This window comes from Homo sapiens, chromosome 15, assembly GCF_000001405.40.
Source record: "Homo sapiens chromosome 15, GRCh38.p14 Primary Assembly".
Taxonomy (NCBI): domain Eukaryota; kingdom Metazoa; phylum Chordata; class Mammalia; order Primates; family Hominidae; genus Homo; species Homo sapiens.
The window spans coordinates 55361041-55378469 of NC_000015.10; the positions used below are offsets into that span (position 1 = coordinate 55361041).

The 17429-nt window shown below is 38.6% G+C and overlaps 1 protein-coding gene, 1 long non-coding RNA gene and 1 other non-coding gene across 6 annotated transcripts in view; all 3 read right to left on the reverse strand.

The window, feature by feature from the left end:
• DNAAF4-CCPG1 (DNAAF4-CCPG1 readthrough (NMD candidate)) overlaps positions 1–17429 on the reverse strand; it is a 143362-nt gene that overhangs the window by 5818 nt on the left and 120115 nt on the right. The window contains exons 11-14 of the long non-coding RNA NR_037923.1: positions 17260–17336; positions 15909–16110; positions 10753–11004; positions 4148–4269 (exon numbers count right to left, since the gene is read on the reverse strand). This is a non-coding gene — a long non-coding RNA (DNAAF4-CCPG1 readthrough (NMD candidate)). The remainder of the gene's footprint in view (positions 1–4147; positions 4270–10752; positions 11005–15908; positions 16111–17259; positions 17337–17429) is intronic.
• CCPG1 (cell cycle progression 1) overlaps positions 1–17429 on the reverse strand; it is a 53121-nt gene that overhangs the window by 5802 nt on the left and 29890 nt on the right. For all 4 annotated transcript variants that reach the window (NM_001204451.2, NM_001204450.2, NM_020739.5 and 1 more), the window contains exons 4-7: positions 17260–17336; positions 15909–16110; positions 10753–11004; positions 4148–4269 (exon numbers count right to left, since the gene is read on the reverse strand). In NM_001204451.2, coding sequence (NP_001191380.1) covers positions 4148–4269; positions 10753–11004; positions 15909–16110; positions 17260–17336 — 653 coding nt within the window. The remainder of the gene's footprint in view (positions 1–4147; positions 4270–10752; positions 11005–15908; positions 16111–17259; positions 17337–17429) is intronic.
• MIR628 (microRNA 628) lies at positions 11900–11994 on the reverse strand. The gene has a single exon (NR_030358.1). It is a non-coding gene; the product is annotated as a microRNA 628 (primary transcript).

Here is a 17429-nt window from a genome sequence, read left to right on the forward strand (position 1 = left end):
TTTACTTCTACAGATACAACCCCCCGGGTAGTATTTTCAATAGTATAAACATTGGGAAATACAAGGTTCATATGCAAGAAAACGCAGAGCAGAGAGCTACATCAAATTGAGAACTACAGCATGGTGTAAGAATTTTTTTTTTTTTGAGATGGAGTCTCACTCTGTCGTCCAGACTAGAGTGCAGTGGCGCAATCTCGGCTCACTATAACCTCTGCCTCTTGAGTTCAAGCGACTCTCCAGCCTCCCAAAGTGCTGGCATTATAGGCATGAACCACCGCGCCTGGCTGGAAGAATTTAAAAGACAGAAAGTTAGCTAGAGCTTGCAGGACTAAAGGCTTTTCTGAATCAGGAAAAGAGATTACCTTTTATAAAAGGTAAAATTATTAGCTGGGCGCGGTGGCTCATGCCTGTAATCCCAGCACTTTGGGAGGCTGAGGTGGGTGGATCACGAGATCAAGAGATCAAGACCATCCTGGCCTACGTGGTGAAACCCCATCTCTACTAAAAATACAAAAATTAGCTGGGCATGGTGGCATGCACCTGTAGTCCCAGCTACTTGGGAGGATGAGGCAGGGGAATCGCTTGAACCCGGGAGGCGAATGTTGCAGTGAGCCGAGATCGCACCACTGCACTCCAGCCTGGCGACAGAGCGAGACTCTGTCTCAAAAAAAAAACAAATAAAAAATAAAAGTAAAATTACATCGAGAGCTGACTTACGGCTTCAAAAATTGTTTGTACTCAGTGTACCCTTCAAAGGATGAAATTCTAACAATCTTAGTCCTATTTGAAACATTTTAGTCCTATGCAATTAACATTTCTAAGTAAGTACAGATAAGCCATAAATTCTATAACCATGTTAGAAGACAGACTGAATCTTGAACATTTATAACTAACTTATCCAATTTTATGGTAAATTTTTGAAGTTCTGTAATCTGTACAGATTAATATAACTCTGAAGATTAATCTATAGATTACTATAACTGAAAGTCAGCACCCGTGGTAGAAATCATGGTCAATTCGGCTTATAGAATTTTACTGCTTCAATAAGGGTATCCTTGACTGATTTGAATTTTCTTTTACACATATGCATTAGTAACAAAATCTAACCAAAAACAGTCAAAACTTAAACAATATGGTTCAACAGGTTCTTAAAGCATTATACATCGAGTTAAAAATATCCTATGTATAAATCTGCAAAATGATACTTAAATTTGGCTTAATTTATCACAAACGTTATGGTTACCCCATTTGAGTCAGAGCAGTCAATTACCTGGATTCAGAAATAAGAAAAAAAAAAAAGGAAAAAAAAATACAAGTCCTTTAAGAGAATGACACTAATATACACTTGAAAAATAACTATCTGAAATGACTGCTTCACGTTCTGGCTCATTAATCTTCAGAGAACAAATAAAGATTTAAAATTTAATCACAGTCATTTCATCTGCTCTACCTGTATGAGAGAAAAGAAATTTCTTCTACCCAACAGCAGTGGACTGTGGAGTAGAAGAGACTGATGCACTGGTGTGGCATAATCTTGAAATGCACAAGCCCAGGAAGCCACAGGATGAAAGAAGAGTACAGCATTCCTCGTGCAGTAAATATGATGTTGACATAAGTGATTGATAAGCAGATCCTGACCAGGTCTTCCAAAGAGCTTCAAAATCTATCTGATCCACACTTAACAGCCAGAAATAAGAGATCTGTAAAAACTGACTCTCTAGCTGGGCACAGTGGCTCAATCCTTTAATCCCAGTATTTTGAGGCCAAGGTGGGAGGATCACTTGAACCCAGAAGTTCCAGAATAGCCTGGGCAACATAGTGAGACCCCATCTCTATGAAAAATTTAAAAACCAAGTTGGACATGGTGGCGTGTGCTTGTGGTCGCAGCTACTTGAGAGGCTAAGCCAGGAGGATTGCTTGAGCCCAGAAGTTAAGGCAGCAGTGAGCCATGATCACACCACTGCACTCCAGCCTGGGCAATAAGAATGAAACCCTGTCTCTTAAAAAACAAAAACAAAAAAAACAGGCCAGGCGCAGTGACTCACGCCTGTAATCCCAGCACTTTGGGAGGCCGAGGCAGGCAGATTACCTGAGGTCAGGAGTTCAAGACCACCCTGGCCAACATAGTGAAACCCCATCTCTACTGAAAATGCAAAAAATGAACCGGGCATGGTGGAGGGAGCCTGTAATCCCAGCTACTTGGGAGACTGAGGCAGGAGAATCACTTGAACCCAGGAGGCAGAGGTTCCAGTGAGCTGAGATCATGCCACTGCACTCCAGCCTGGGCAACAGAGCGAGGCTCCATCTCAGAAAAAAAACAAACAAAACAAAAAAAAAACCCAAACCCAAACCAAACTACAAACTCTCTCTAGAGGTTAATGCGTGGTGAGTTTTCCAAAAGCCAATGTTATCCTATGGAACCAGAAAACACTGTGGTGAAGAAGAAAATGGCATCTTCTAATACAGGTAGGAAAAACTGAACTATTTATAATTAACTTCAGAAGTACCTCCCTGTGTCTACAGCCATAACACCCTAAATGCCGCCAGTCTCCTCTGATGGCAGAAGCTAGGCAGGGTCTGGCCTGGTTAGTACTTGGATGGGAGAAGTACCTCCCTGAAAGATACAATTTAGTTACAAAGTAGTATTTTTGTCTTTTCAAGAAATATAACCTGTAAGGGAAGCATACATAAATTAAGTGTGAGAATTGGGGGTGGAAAAATGAAGGAAAAAACAATAGCTTACTTTTCTTTCCTTTTCCTTTTTTTTTTTTTTTTTTTTTTTTGAGACAGTCTTCCTCTGTGGCCCAGGCCGGAGTGCAATAGTGTGATCTCAGCTTACTATAACCTCTGCCTCCTAGATTGAAGCAATTCTTGTGCCTAAGCCTCCCAAAAAGCTGGGATTACAGGTATGTGCCACCACACCAGGCTGATTTTTGTATTTTTAGTAGAGACAAGGTTTCACCATATTGGCCAGGCTGGTCTTGAACTCCTGGGCTCAAGCAATCCACCTACCTTGGCTTCCCAAGGTTACCAACTTTGGGAATTTGGGAGGTTGCCACCACACCCAGACATAGCTTATTTTTCTACCCTGCATTTCTCTCTACAACCTTCTTAGGAAAAAACTAGATAAGAGACCAGCTATTTTGCTGATCCTCATAAACCCACAGAGGTGTTAGGTAATGACAGAATGGACAGTACAGTCCTGTGAGACGAGATCTAGGTGAGTTATAGGCAGAAAAAGATAACATGCTCTCCCTTCCATCAGAATAAAAAAAAACAATGGAAAGGAATAGCTATGTCCCCTGATCAAGAGAAGATCTTAGAGAGGCTATAAAACCAAAACTCTCCTCTTTCCCTCCTGCCAACTGAAAATGTTTGCTTCGCTCTGTGAAAATAATGTTAATAAAAATGTCTATATACACATATAAAATGTCACTTATAAAAGATGTTAACTATAAAATAGCAGCTAGGGATAAGAGTTCTTAAGTCAAATCCTTAGAATCAATTAATTAGCTCTCCCAAACAAAACAAAACAAAACAAAAAAAGGCCATGGCCGAGCATGGTGGCTGACACCTGTAATCCCAGCACTTTAGGAGACTGAGGTGGGTAGACGGAGGTCAGGAGTTCAAGACCAGCGTGGCCAACATAGTGAAACCCCGTCTCTACTAAAAATACAAAAAAATTTGCCGGGCATAGAGGTGCACACCTGTAATCCCAGCTACTTGGGAGGCTGAGGCACAAGAATCGCTTGAACCCAGGAGGTGGAAGTTGCAGCAACCTGAGGTTGCACCACTGCACTCCAGCCTGGGCAACAGAGCGAGACTCCATCTCAAATAAATAAACAAACAAACAAAAACAAACTAGCTCTGCCAGTTGCTACCTTGAGAAAGTCACTTAACTTTTCTAAACCTCTTTTCCACCTATAAAAGTTAGTAATTGCTTAATTCACATATTGTGAGAATAAGAGAAATACTCTATATGGTACACTCATGACAATGACTAGGACACACTAAATACCCGTACTCAATTCAACAATGATCAGCATTATTACTGATTTACTAATCTGCACTAATAAGCACAATAAGCTCTAACTAATAAGCAAAATAATTACTAACAATTATTTTAAATACTGTTAGTGGTACATACCTTATAATCTATAAAAGATTCTTGTTCCTGTTGACACTGGGAAAGATAATCCTTCATATCATTCAATTCATCTTCATGTATCTTTCTGACTAACTGTTGACGCTTCTGAATCTGAATTGTGCCTAAAATAAATATTTTTATTAAAGGTATGTAACAAAAATATTATCATTAAATGTTTTATGTATTTTTTAATATTGGTAATCTGCATATAAGCTATGTAGTCTTTTTTTTGTTTTTTTTTTTTGTTTTTTTTTTGTTTTTTGAGAAGAGTCTTGCTCCATTGCCCAGGCTGGTATGATCTCAGCTCACTGCAACCTCTGCCTCCCTGGTTCAAGCAATTCTCGTGACTCAGCTTCCCGAGTGTCTGGGACTACAGGGAAGCGCCACCAGGCCCAACTAATTTTTTATAGAGACAGGGTTTTGCCATGTTGGCCAGGCTGGTCTCAAACTCCCGGCCTCAAGTGATCCACCCACCTTGGCTTCTCAGAGTGCTGGGATTACATGTGTGAGCCACTGTGCCTGGCCATAACCTATGTAATCTTGACAATCATTTCATTCAGAGTATCAGCATTTCACCGTTCTTTAAAAATTCTGATTACATAAATAGAGAATAAGTAACTGAGGCTGGGCACAGTGGCTCACGCCTGTAATCCCAGCACATTGGGAGGCCAAGGCAGGTAGATCATTTGAGGTCAGGAGTTCAAGACCAGCCTGGCCAACATGGTGAAACCCTGTCTCTACTAAAAATAAAAATAAAATAAAATAAAAAAAGAAAAGTAAATGAAAGCCCATGATCAATCATTCATCAAATGGTGGTGAACGTTAACGTAATATAAGTAAGGCCAAGTAGGCTAGTTCTTAAAAACATTTATTTACATACACCCAGGAACATTTAAGCAGTTCACTATCTTTTGTATTAAAACACACAGGCCAGCCCATATGGCTCTAACCAAGAGAACAATTTATGTAATGTTCTTATCTTACTATATTGAAGGCACTCAGCTTTGTTGTTTTGGGGTTATCTTTTAAGTACAAAAAGTGTTTCAGCCTCCCTTATACAGAGAAATGAACAAACCCTGGTATTTTTTCACAGGTCGTAAGTCAATAAGGAAAAATGAAAATTTTTTTTTTTTTTAATATTTTGCCTTAAGGATACAACAAAGCCCAAAAAGTACAGCACAGAAAATAATTGGCTAATGGTGATTGTGCACCATTCTCAAGGCCAAATTTGTTAAGAATTCTGCAATGGTTAAATCTGTACTGGAGTAGCACTGTCCTTATCCCAACAGTGATAAAAGAATTGGACAGGCACAGTAGCTCACGCCTGTAATCCCAGCACTTTGGGAGGCCAAAGCAGATGGATCACCTGAGGTCAGGAGTTCGAGACCAGCCTGACCAACATGGAGAAACCCTGTCTCTACTAAAAATACAATATTAGCCAGGGAGTGGTGGCATGTGCCTGTAATCCCAGCTACTCGGGAGGCTGCGGCAGGAGAATCGCTTAAACCCGGGAGGTGGAGGTTGTGGTGAGCCAAGATCGCGCCACTGCACTCCAGCCTGGGCAACAAGAGCGAAACTCCGTCTCAAAAAAAGAATCTTAAACCAACTAGGATTCTTCATATTTTCATCCTAAAAATCAAAATGTTACTTTACTCAGACATGCTATTCACATGCGTCATGTATGGGGGGAAAAAACCACGAAATCAAAAATAAGGCAAAATGCAGTTAGCAACCTTAACATTACATCTACTGAGTATAGATACTATAGAATTTTACAAAGAAAGGATGCAGTGATCACTATTTCTTCCCTTACTGCTATAAAAATTATTTTAAATGTCTTCAATACATCTTGAAAAACACCAAAAACAACTTTTGCCAATTTACAGGTAACTGTTACATAGTCTAGCTATGATATTCTGTGTTAGAATTCATTTCCTCTCTTTAGATTTCTCAATTTATAGAAGCACGGCAAGCTTGTTTCAAAATTACTCAGCAGAATCCCAGATTTTTTTCAAATGTTGAAATTTATCTATAGTTCCCAGAGTAACAGAAAACTTCTGCAATTTCTATTTCAAACTGCTGAGATTAATTCCTTTGCCCACTGGAAAATAATCTAAAACTGTGTTGAGGTCTGAATTCAAGATAGTATAATATAGCATATGCTTGATTACTGTCTTAATGTGGCCTTTTACAATATTACTGACTAATCACTTGGGGGTTTTTCCTGCACCTTCAGCTACCTAAAGTCTTATCCTCAAGATACAATCTTTGGCCTAGTCATGTCTACAAATGCTGCCTATTTTACCATGTTGCAGCGCTGTCAGATTTTGCTATCACTCCTATTAAGAATTCCAAGCTACAGATCTTGTCCTAACTTCTCATCAGAGCTTCTAGCCAACACATCCAGCTGTGTAGGGGGCCTGTTTGTAGGGTGGAAAAAAAAAAAAAATCAAACCTCAACACCTGCCCCAAACCAAATTTGTCTAGAACAAATTTGGGTAAAACCAAACCAAACTGTGCTTACCATCTATTTATCATCTGGCAAAACTTCCCCAGTAACCCCAACTCCAAAAGTGAAGCAGCTAGCACATTTTCTACAATTTAATAAATTGCCATTATTTTCCATTATTCCTTCAATGTCCCTTATTCCATTCCCACTGTTATTCCAATTGTCAAGGTCCTCCTCACCAAATATCCAGATTACAGAACTCTTAACTGACTGACTATTCTACATTTTTCCATACCACCTTTTCCACACCAGCAAAAAGTTCCGGCACTTTTTTCTCTAACCTGATAGCAGGTTACTCAATAAATCAAACTTTCCTATCTAGATTCCAAGACGTTTTACAATACACAGTTGACCCTTGAGCAACATGAGTTTGAACTACATGGCAGGATGCAAAATCCAGGTATATGGAGAGGTGACTTTTCATATATGTGAGGTCCGCAGTCAAGGGACTTTAGTACGTATGGATTTTGGTATGGGGGTGCATCCTGGAACCCATCCCTCATGTATATCAAGGGATGACTATAATAGCACCCCACCTATTCCATTATTTCTAAATACCTACACTCTGCTGTAGTCCAAGCAGTCTTTTCACTGCTCCCAAACCCAAGATTACGTCTTCCTCAGGTTATCAGATTCTCTGTCGCTGGAATGTTCCACCTTCCCTTGAGTCTATCATAAACTTACTATGATTAGACACAACTTAAATCTTACCACCTCCAGGATAATTCAGTAAGTGTACCCTTTGAGCTGTAATTCATTCTGTGCTCTATAACTTAGCATCTAGATATCTTGTTATATAATAGTCTGCCGAAGAGCCGGGTAGTCTATCAATACTTAAAGCAACTCGAGGAGAAAACCAAATCAATTGAACTCCATTGATGATTTGGAATGTTGATAGTCACAAGCAAATGTAAGAATAAGAAAGACTGCTTTCTCATGAAACTTTTTAATAAAACTTCTGGAAGCATTTTCAGAACCAAATACCTGGAGTACACTGCCTCACTATCCTTAGTCATGCTAGCTTTCTCTTCCCTGCAGTATAGATCTGCCAATTCAAATCTGTATGGCACCAGGGCTGGCAAACGCAGAATGATTCAATTAGTAATATGGTATTGTTAAATTATTATAAAGCGGGCCAGGCACGGTGGCTCACGCCTATAATCCCAGCACTTTGGGAGGCCGAGGCAGGCGGATCACTTAAGGTCAGGAGTTCGAGACCAACCTGGCCAACAGGGCGAAACCTCATCTCTTCTAAAAATACAAAAAGTAGCCAGGCGTGCTGGCGGATGCCTGTAATCCTAGCTACTCAGGAGGGTGAGACAGAAGGATCGCTTGAACCTGGGAGACGGAGGTGGCAGTGAGCCAAGATCATACCACTGCACTCCAGCCTGGGGAACAGAGCAAGACTCTGTCTCAAAAAAAAATAAAATTATAAAGTGAATGAATGACTATGGGATGCAATGACCGACTTTACGGTGAATAGAAAATTCAAAACGGCTCTGAAATCAACTCCAAAGAATGTTGAGATCAGTGCTGAAATTAAAAAATGTGATGTCTTGCCAGGTGCGGTGGCTCACGCCTGTAATCCCAGCACTTTGGGAGGCCGAGGTGGACAGATCACCTGAGGTCAGGAGTTCGAGACCAGCCTGACCAACATGGAGAAACCCCATCTCTACTAAAAATACAAAATTAGCTGGACATGGTGGTGCATGCCTGTAATCCTAGATACTCGGGAGGCTGAGGCAGGAGAATTGCTTGAACCCGGGAGGCGAAGGTTGCGGTGAGCCGAGATCACGCACTGCACTCCAGCCTGGGCAACAAGAGCAAAACTCTGTCTCAAAAAAAAAAAAAAGTGATGTCTTTTAAGTAGTGACTTGGAAAAGTCATTTAGGTCAGGTCTTGTATGTTAATTCAACTAATCTCATTACTATGTAGGCCTACTTCATAATATGTTATCCAGGCTTTTCATAGCCTGAAAAGGCTAATATCAAGTAAAGGACAATGTTTTATTAATTAACTATTAAGGTAAATTTTACTAATAACCAAAATCCTACATAACAGAGAAGTAACTTCTCATTTTGAAAGCACTTCTGTAAAATTATTTTTCTACAAAATATTCAAAGGTCATGTAAATGGTGAAGTTTTAATGCAATTTGGATTAACACTTTAAATCACTATCCAATTTTTTTTGAAGTAAGAAAAAAAGATTAAGATAAGATCTTCTCCATTGTTACCCTCATGTTTACTTGTGGAGGGAAAATCATACTCAAATACTTATTGATTGTTTCAGCTAGATAGTCTATAAAGGTAAATATATATTTCAAATCAAATCTTATTACAACAAATTTCAAGAAAGGATACAAATAATAGTATCTCAGTATTAAATTCAAGCAGGTATCCATCAGAAATCTAAATACATATTTTTATTAATATAAATACAAGAAACATCTTGCAAGCTCTGACTTTAAACAGGTATTGTCTTCATTAAGTTTATTCTAACATTACGCTATGTTGAATAATATACCTTTTCCACAAATCCACATAGGGTACATGTAATTCTTCAATCTTTGCATAAGAAATACATTTTTCGAATGAACTAGCAAAACGAAAAGTTAAGACTGTGGATTATGCAGGCAAAAAAATCTAAAAGTAGTTAATGTAAAGCAAGCTAAAATTTGGGAAGTTGACAAGATCTAAGACATTTCCTTTTAAAGTGTCTCTACCCCAAATTCCAATATAGCAAAGAGAGTCAAAGTTCAGGTTTCAAATACTCCAGTCATTGTACAAACACATACCTTAAATAAGAGACTCAGGCCAGGCACGGTGGCTCATGCCTATAATCCCAGCACTCTGGGAGGCTGAGTGGGGTGGATCACCTTAGGTCAAGAGTTCAAGACTGGCTGGGTGCGGTGGCTCACGCCTGTAATCCCAACACTTTGGGAGGCCGAGGCGGGTGGATCACAAGGTCAGGAGATTGAGACCAGCCTGGCCAAGATGGTGAAACCCCGTCTCTACTAAAAATACAAAAAAATTAGCTGGGCGTGGTGGCAGGCGCCTGTAGTCCCAGCTACTCAGGAGGCTGAGGCAGGAGAATCACTTGAACCCAGAGGCAGAGGCTGCATTGAGCCAAGGTCGCACCACTGGACTCCAGCCTGGGCGACAGAGTGAGACTCCGTCTCAAAAAAAAAGAAAAAAAAAAAAAAAAAGACTTCGAGACCAGCCTGGCCAACATGGCAAAACCCCGTCTCTACTACAAATATAAAAAAATTAGCCAGGCATGGTGGCGGGCGCCTGTTATCCCAGTTACTCCGGAGGCTGAGGTAGGAGAATTGCTAGAACCCTGGGAGTGGAGTTTGCATTGAGCTGAGATTGTGCCACTGCACTCCAGCCTGGGCGACAGAGTGGGACTCCGTCTCCAAAAAACAAAGGAGAGAGTCAATGGGTGAGGCTCCTAAATGAAAAAGTAAAGTAACACCAATAGAATACCTTCCTCTTCTCACCCAAAAGGCATTTAAAAGCTTTGAATTGATAAGATAATCAACATATATAAACAGTATCAATCATAATAAAGAGCAAAGTATAAGAACAAAGATGACAAACTCTCAATTCATGTGAATCACAGAAGCAACAATGAAAGTTACAAAGTATGATACTTACATGAAACCTCAAAGTAGAAATAATGAACACTTATTATTTACACATTTCAAATGTAACTATTTCAACTGGGATTTAAATAATCTTCCTAATAAAGTCACACTTCAACTTAGTTTAAGTGTGATTCTAAATGTAAATGATTTGCCTCATGGTGAGCATTTCAGATTTTTAATCTTCCAATCTTTTAACTTTAAAAGAGTCACAAACATATATGGTTATTATCCTTACATTTCTTAATAACTACTACCTTATTTAAATAAAAAGCTTTGTGAGATAGGCAGCACCCACTTCCCGAATGAGAAAACTGAGGCTCAAACAGGCTTCAAGTTTTCAAGGCCACACATTTAATAATGGCACTGAAAACAGATCCCAAGAGTCCTCACTCTTAAGTTCCTCTACACTATCCCATCAGGTTATGTATAACACATTTTTGAGTACTTACCATAGAAATGGCCAAATCCCATGCTGATTGCAATCACCAAAGCAAGTATAACACACTTATTGAGACCACTACTGAACTGACGTTTACTCAACTCCTTAGAAGGTTCAGTTTCTTGTTCAGCAACTAGCCGGTCTTCAGATTCTGAAGCAGAAACGGTCTTCTTCCTAGCACGGCGTCGTCTAAAGGCAGGACTGGGCTGATTACTGGTTTCATCACTACTTGATTCATCGTCACTAGGCTGAGATGAAAATACTATTAAGAAAAAAGTTGACATTTAGCTATTCAAAATCTTGGAAAAGCTTTCCCAGTAAAAATTATTTAGAATAATCAATGCCATCCCTTACATGCCTTTCTACATAAGATAGCCAAAAACAAAAACCAAACAACATAAACAAAAACACGGGTTTTCAACTCATCAACATAAAGCCAAAACATAAAGCATTTCAAATGTGATACACAAGAATCTGTTAATCATACTATTTGGTGCTTTGAGAGCCTATCTCTGTTTTTTTATTTAATCCTCCTCGCCTTATAGTTTACACTCTTAGAACAATCCTTCATTCGCATAGCCTCAAGTTTCATTGCTGGCCAGGAGCAGTGGCTCACGCCTGTAATCCCAGCACTTTGGGAGGCCGAGGCGGGCAGATCACCTGAGGTCAGGAGTTCGAGATCAGCCTGGCCAACATGGCGAAACCCCTTCTCTACTAAAAATACAAAAATTAGCCGGGCATGGTAGTGCACCTATAGTCCCAGCTACTTGGGAGGCTGAGGCAGGAGAATCACTTGAACCTGGGAGGTGGAGGTTGCAGTGAGCTGAGATCCTGCCACTATACTCCAGACTGGGAGACAGAGCAAAACTCTGTCTCAAAAGAAACAAAATTTCATTGCTATTACAGGTATAAACAAGTATTATTTCTGGAAAGAAAAAAAATACTCTCTGTCTCTTCATTCAGTTTCAAAGAGGTAATTTAAGTGCAACTATTTAAGGAACACAGGAAAGTACACAAGCATTTCCTGTGACTTATAAAGTAAAATAACTACCAAAAGTTTCCTTGGGTGTATCTGGTCTCTAGTTTCATTTCCAACCTAATTAGCCCATGATCAAGGTTCAAAGCACTGTATTTTAACATAGGTTTCCAGAAGTCAGATGAGCCCTTCCCTTCGACTGCCACTCTTACTAGAAGGTTATTAATTTTACCCTCTAGTAAATATGTCAGCATGAGGAAGTGACACAACAGCTATCTCCGATATTAAGGACTATTCTGGTGCTGCTCCTTTATGAAAATAATAGTAGAGAAAAACAAACTAGTGGGGAAAATTTGCACAAGAAATCCCAAGTCCAGGAAACAAATTCCCTGGAAAAAATCACCTTCAGTTTTTTCCAAATGCATAATTTCTTAACACTGTTTCTTATGTCAACAAACTATTATGTTGACACAGAAGCTTCAATTACTCAGAAATAATTTCCACAAGCTACTTAGAGGAAAAGCACTAAAAATAAGGATAAAATATGAACTCGAATACAAAGAGCTCTAAAACAACAAACATTCATGCTCCAGAAAAGCAAAAACAGTTCTTCAGAAGACAGGATATCCATGCCACAGGAAAGCTGGTGATTTAGGTTAGGCAATATTTTTCAGAGATGGATCATGGAGTATTCAGTTCACTTTCACACTTACAACAATAAACACAAAGACAGAAGGCACTACTGAAATGAATGAATATTCCTAATATTTAGTGATACAGATGCCACTGAGAGATCTTTTTGGTCATGACCCTTATGCCCATCATGTTTATCTGGTTATTCTTGATCACTAGTTTTTCAAAGATGCCGTCGCCTCAGGTGTGAGATTATATTTCTTGGACAAAGAGAAAGAAAGGAAGACTTAAACAAAGCATTACATAATACAAAGGCATTCATGATCATGGTTAGAGTATTTAAGTCAGGCTTTCTGACATAAAATTAAGATAGGTAAATGTAAAAACAAACCATTTGTAAAACTTATTTAAATAATTGTTCAATTCTACATTAACATTACCTTCATTATATATTCTAACAAAACAGCCTAACCCACATTAATATATTCATGTCCTTATCTAATGCTTCCAACTTTTTTAACCCATACATATAATAGCTGAAATATTTTGATTTTTAACTTCTTTTAAAAAAGCTTAATTTGGCCCATAGATGCAAGCAATGCAAAGGCATGCAATAAGCTTGGCCAGCTCCTTTACAAGAGATTCTGAACACCTGTTTAGAGTATTGCGGATGACAACAGGTATCTTTAAAGCACTCGGTAAATAGTAAATGTGACTAGGCACACTCAGCTCTAGAGAAGCTGGTCAGATTTAGTCACACCACCTTGGAAAGCGAGTTGGCTAGGAACATGGTGTTTCAGCTGATCATCCCATCCCCATATGCACTCAGGAATCTTCCACAGCTTCTCCCACCACCTTTCTTTTGTGAATAAACAGGAAAAAAAGAGGCATAAAGCTATATTATAAAGACTAAAAAGAAAAAAAAGAATTAAAAATACTTAATTATCACTTAACATTGTTATCCGTACAAAATTAAAACGTAATAACCATGCCTTCTTAAAAACACACAATACAAACTTCTCTACACTACCAACTTTGCTTTTTGTCAGGGAAGAGAGTTCATAAAGAGGAAGCAGGCAGTGTTCTTAACCCAACAAAACGTACACTGCCACAAGAATATAAGTCAGGAGAAGAAAAAATTGAAGTTGAAATCCTTAAGGATGAAGAAAGGGAAAGGAAAAAACAAAATTAAGCAATGGCTAGCACAAAATTAACAAACTAAAAGGGAAAAACAAAAACCATCTTTTTTATTTTTTTGAGACGGGGTCTCCCTCTATTGCCCAGGCTGGAGTGCAGTGGCGCAATCTTGGCTCACTGCAACCTCCGCCTCCTGGGTTCAAGAGATTCTCCTGCCTCAGCCTCCAGAGTAGCTGGGATTACAGGCCTGCGCTACCACAGGCAGCTAATCCCAAGTAGCTGGGATTACAGGCACCTGGCTAAATTTTGTATTTTCAGTAGAGAAGGGTTTTTGCCGTGTTGGTCAGGCTGGTCTCAAACTCCTTACCTCAGGTAATCTGCCTGCCTCAGTCTCCCAAAGTGCAGGGATTACAGGCATGAGCCAAAGTGCCCGGCCCCAAAACAAAAACTTTTGGCAACTGGTTTATATGCAGTGTTTTCAGTATAGTCCAAAATTTCGTCTTTAAACATTTGGTTTATTGAAACAATATCTTTAGGAGGAATAACAATGGGTAAAAATACAGTTAATCAAATATTCCTCTTAGTCCACAAAAATCTCAAGAAGTCAGAATTCAGAAAGAAGATAAATATTAGAAGAATGGTCTTAGAACTATACAACTTCCTGAAAAAAGTTAATATGTAATTTCTTTCTTTTTTTGAGATGGTGCTGGGATTACAGGCGTGAGCCACCACGCCCAGCAACAGTATGTAGTTCCTTTTACGTCTATGTCAGTTTCTTATATATCTGACCATTCTATAATACTCTGGCTTCAATTTGACTTTTCTGGGCCATGAATATTCTCTAATTAAACCAGAGGCAGGAAAGGAAGCGGGGGTGGGGAAACTACCTGAATACAACACAAATCCTGGAGTTTAAAAAAATAATAATAAAATTTGATGACTAACAAGGATTCTAAAATCAATTACAATACCCCTCCATAAATAAAGATACTATGAATGCTATTCTAACAAAGCCTGAAGTTTTCCTCTGAACATCAAGAATGTCACATGAATATTCAAATAGCTGGAAAAAGTGTTTTCACGTTCATGTTTATAGGCAAACCACTGATATACTAACTGAAAATAACTTCTCATTAAATGAGATAGCCAAGAATCTCTACTTTTTTTTTTTTTTTTTGAGACAGGATCCTGCTCTGTCACCCAGGTTGGCAATCTGGGTGCAGTGGCGCAATCTCAGCTCACTACAGCCTCAACCTCCCAGGCTCAAGCAATCCTCCCACCTCAGCCTCCCAAGTGGCTGGGACCACATGCGCACGCCATCATGCCTGGCTTTTTATTATTTGTAGAGATGAGGTCTCGCTATGTTGCCCAGGCTGGTCTCGAAATCCTGGGTTCAGGTAATCCACCTGCCTCAGCTTTACAAAGTGCTGGAATTACTGGCATGAGCCACTATGCCCAGCCAAGAACCTCTACTTGACATTTTATTAGCTTAAACTGGAATGACAGAAATTCTATTGTCTGATTCTGGTTGGCAAATGTAAATATTAAAGAATGGTAAAATCTAAAAAAATTATCTAAAATAGATACTACCTGTTTCCTGTTTCTTCGTCAAATTAGGAAATTTTTAGAATCACTAGCAGTGTTTCAAGTTGTCTCTGCCATAACTCACGCTTAGTTATAATTGTGGCTTAATAACTGATATATCCAGGAACTTTATACCTACATACTTACATCACATTAAAAGATGTTATACATACTGCTAAAACTGAGCTGAAGCATAGCAGAAAGAAATCAAGCAACTCACACTTTAATCTCTGAATGAGTCTGTCTGTACAACGGGCATTGATTGCATTAAAAATGTGGCTTACACTAGTGACATTTTCATAACAGAATCTAAAACAAAAGATCTGAAGGTCACGAGCTTTGGAAGACTAGCTGTATTGATAGCACCTTGAACTCTGTTTCACATATGGTAGGTACTCAATAAATGTTTGTTGCATGATTAATAATTGAATATATCTGAAGAGACTTTAATAACAATTTTTTTCACTATTTCTATATTACAAAATGTACACTACTGCAAGCAAAAATATTAACATCCCCAATCTCCCACTCTTAAAGATCTAAAAAGCACCAAAAGAATTTTGGAGCATTTGTGATTTTAACAAATCTCACTGAAGCAATTTTGTCTTCTATTTAATGGCAAAAGATGGTTACTGTTACAGTAAAAGATTGCTATGCTCCAGAACAGTCTAGCGAAACACTAGGTATTAATAGATTTCACACACAAAAATAGTCTTGTCTTGAGTTTTACCCAAACATATTCAAAACTAGAGACTAAATTATTAGGGGTAGAAAACAAGCCTTTATATAAAATGTGGTCGTACATGTCTTTAAGTCTCTTATCAGTGTATTCTTACCAGTTTCTGGCTGACAGAAAGTATACTGGCTGCTAGAGGAAGAGCCCATGTTAAAGTCTTCTGAACTCTGTGCTTCTTCAACAATGACAACTTCTTGATTTCCAATTTCTTCTAACTTAGGTGGCTCAAGGGTAACAATATCAGAATCATCACTGGCAGTTCCAATATAGATACTGTCTTCGGGTATCTTTTGTTCCTCTGCCTGAAGAATCATAATTTTAGAGATGGTAAGTTCAACAATCATTTAAGGGTCTTACATTTTCTTAGAATACAACAGTAGTAAGTATTATAGTCATCTGAGTTAAAATAAAAGATATGATTCCTACTATTAGTAAAGAATTATGCAATAGCAGGCTCATCATATAGCTTGAGAACACCATCAGATCCCTTGACAACTCTCAGAATTAGATCAGACCACTGCATTCTCCTAGTGGGCTGCAGAAGCTGAGAAGCCCATCTTTGCCCCCTCAATAACCACAGAAAAAAGAGCTCACTTCTCTCACGAGTTCCATGGTTCTATTCGAGCACAACTCTGTAGTGTGGAAGCCCAAAAAAGACTCACTGAACTTTTTAGGTTATGTACGTAATAAACTTCAACAGCTGTATCTTGTACTGAATGTATCTGAAGGTGTCCCCACAAATTTCTACGCTGGAATGTAATCGCCAATGTGATAGTACTAAGAAGTGGGACCTTTAGGAGGTGACTGAGTTATAAGGGATCCTCCCCTAGGAATATGATTAAGGTCTTTATAAAACAGGCTTCATGCAGCATCCAGCCTTTTTTTGCCCATCTCCTCTTAAAGATGTAGCAACAAAATGCCATTTGGAAACAAGACAGCATGTCATCAGCAAACACTGAACTTGTCCACACTTTGATCTTAAACTTCCCAGCCTCTATAATTGTGAGAAATAAATTTCTGTTTGTTATAAATCACCCAGTATCAGGTATTTTGTCAGATCAGTACAGACTAAAACACCATGTAAAATGATCATCTAGCTATCTAGTTTTATACAGAAGTCAAGTAAAACCCCAAAGCATAAGTCTCAGGTTGTTACCAAATTTTAAAATGAACCACCATTTTAGACATGAAACCTAACAGTTTAATTTTTCAATATAATTCAAGAATGCAATCTACTTCCAAAAAGAATTATATTAGAGGTGAAAAGATAGATCTTTAACACAATACCAATAAAATACTTTGCTTAGATGTCCTCTAAGACATCTAACTTAGAAGTCAAAATTGCTTATAATTCAAAATAGGAATAGAATGCATAAATAGAATTAGAGGCTTTAAATAGTATTCTAAGGATACTATTTAACATATATCCACAGTGTAAAATACAAGTTTACCTCAATTGTTGAGCTGGTTTCCTCCAAAGCTGGATAAGCAGTTTCTTCCATAAGCACTGTGCCATTTTGGCTGCTTTCTGATATAAAGCAAAGATCAATATAATTATTTCTTAATTTAAAACTCTCTGTTGACTTTCTGCAGCCAACATATAATCTGGGTAGATAAAAAT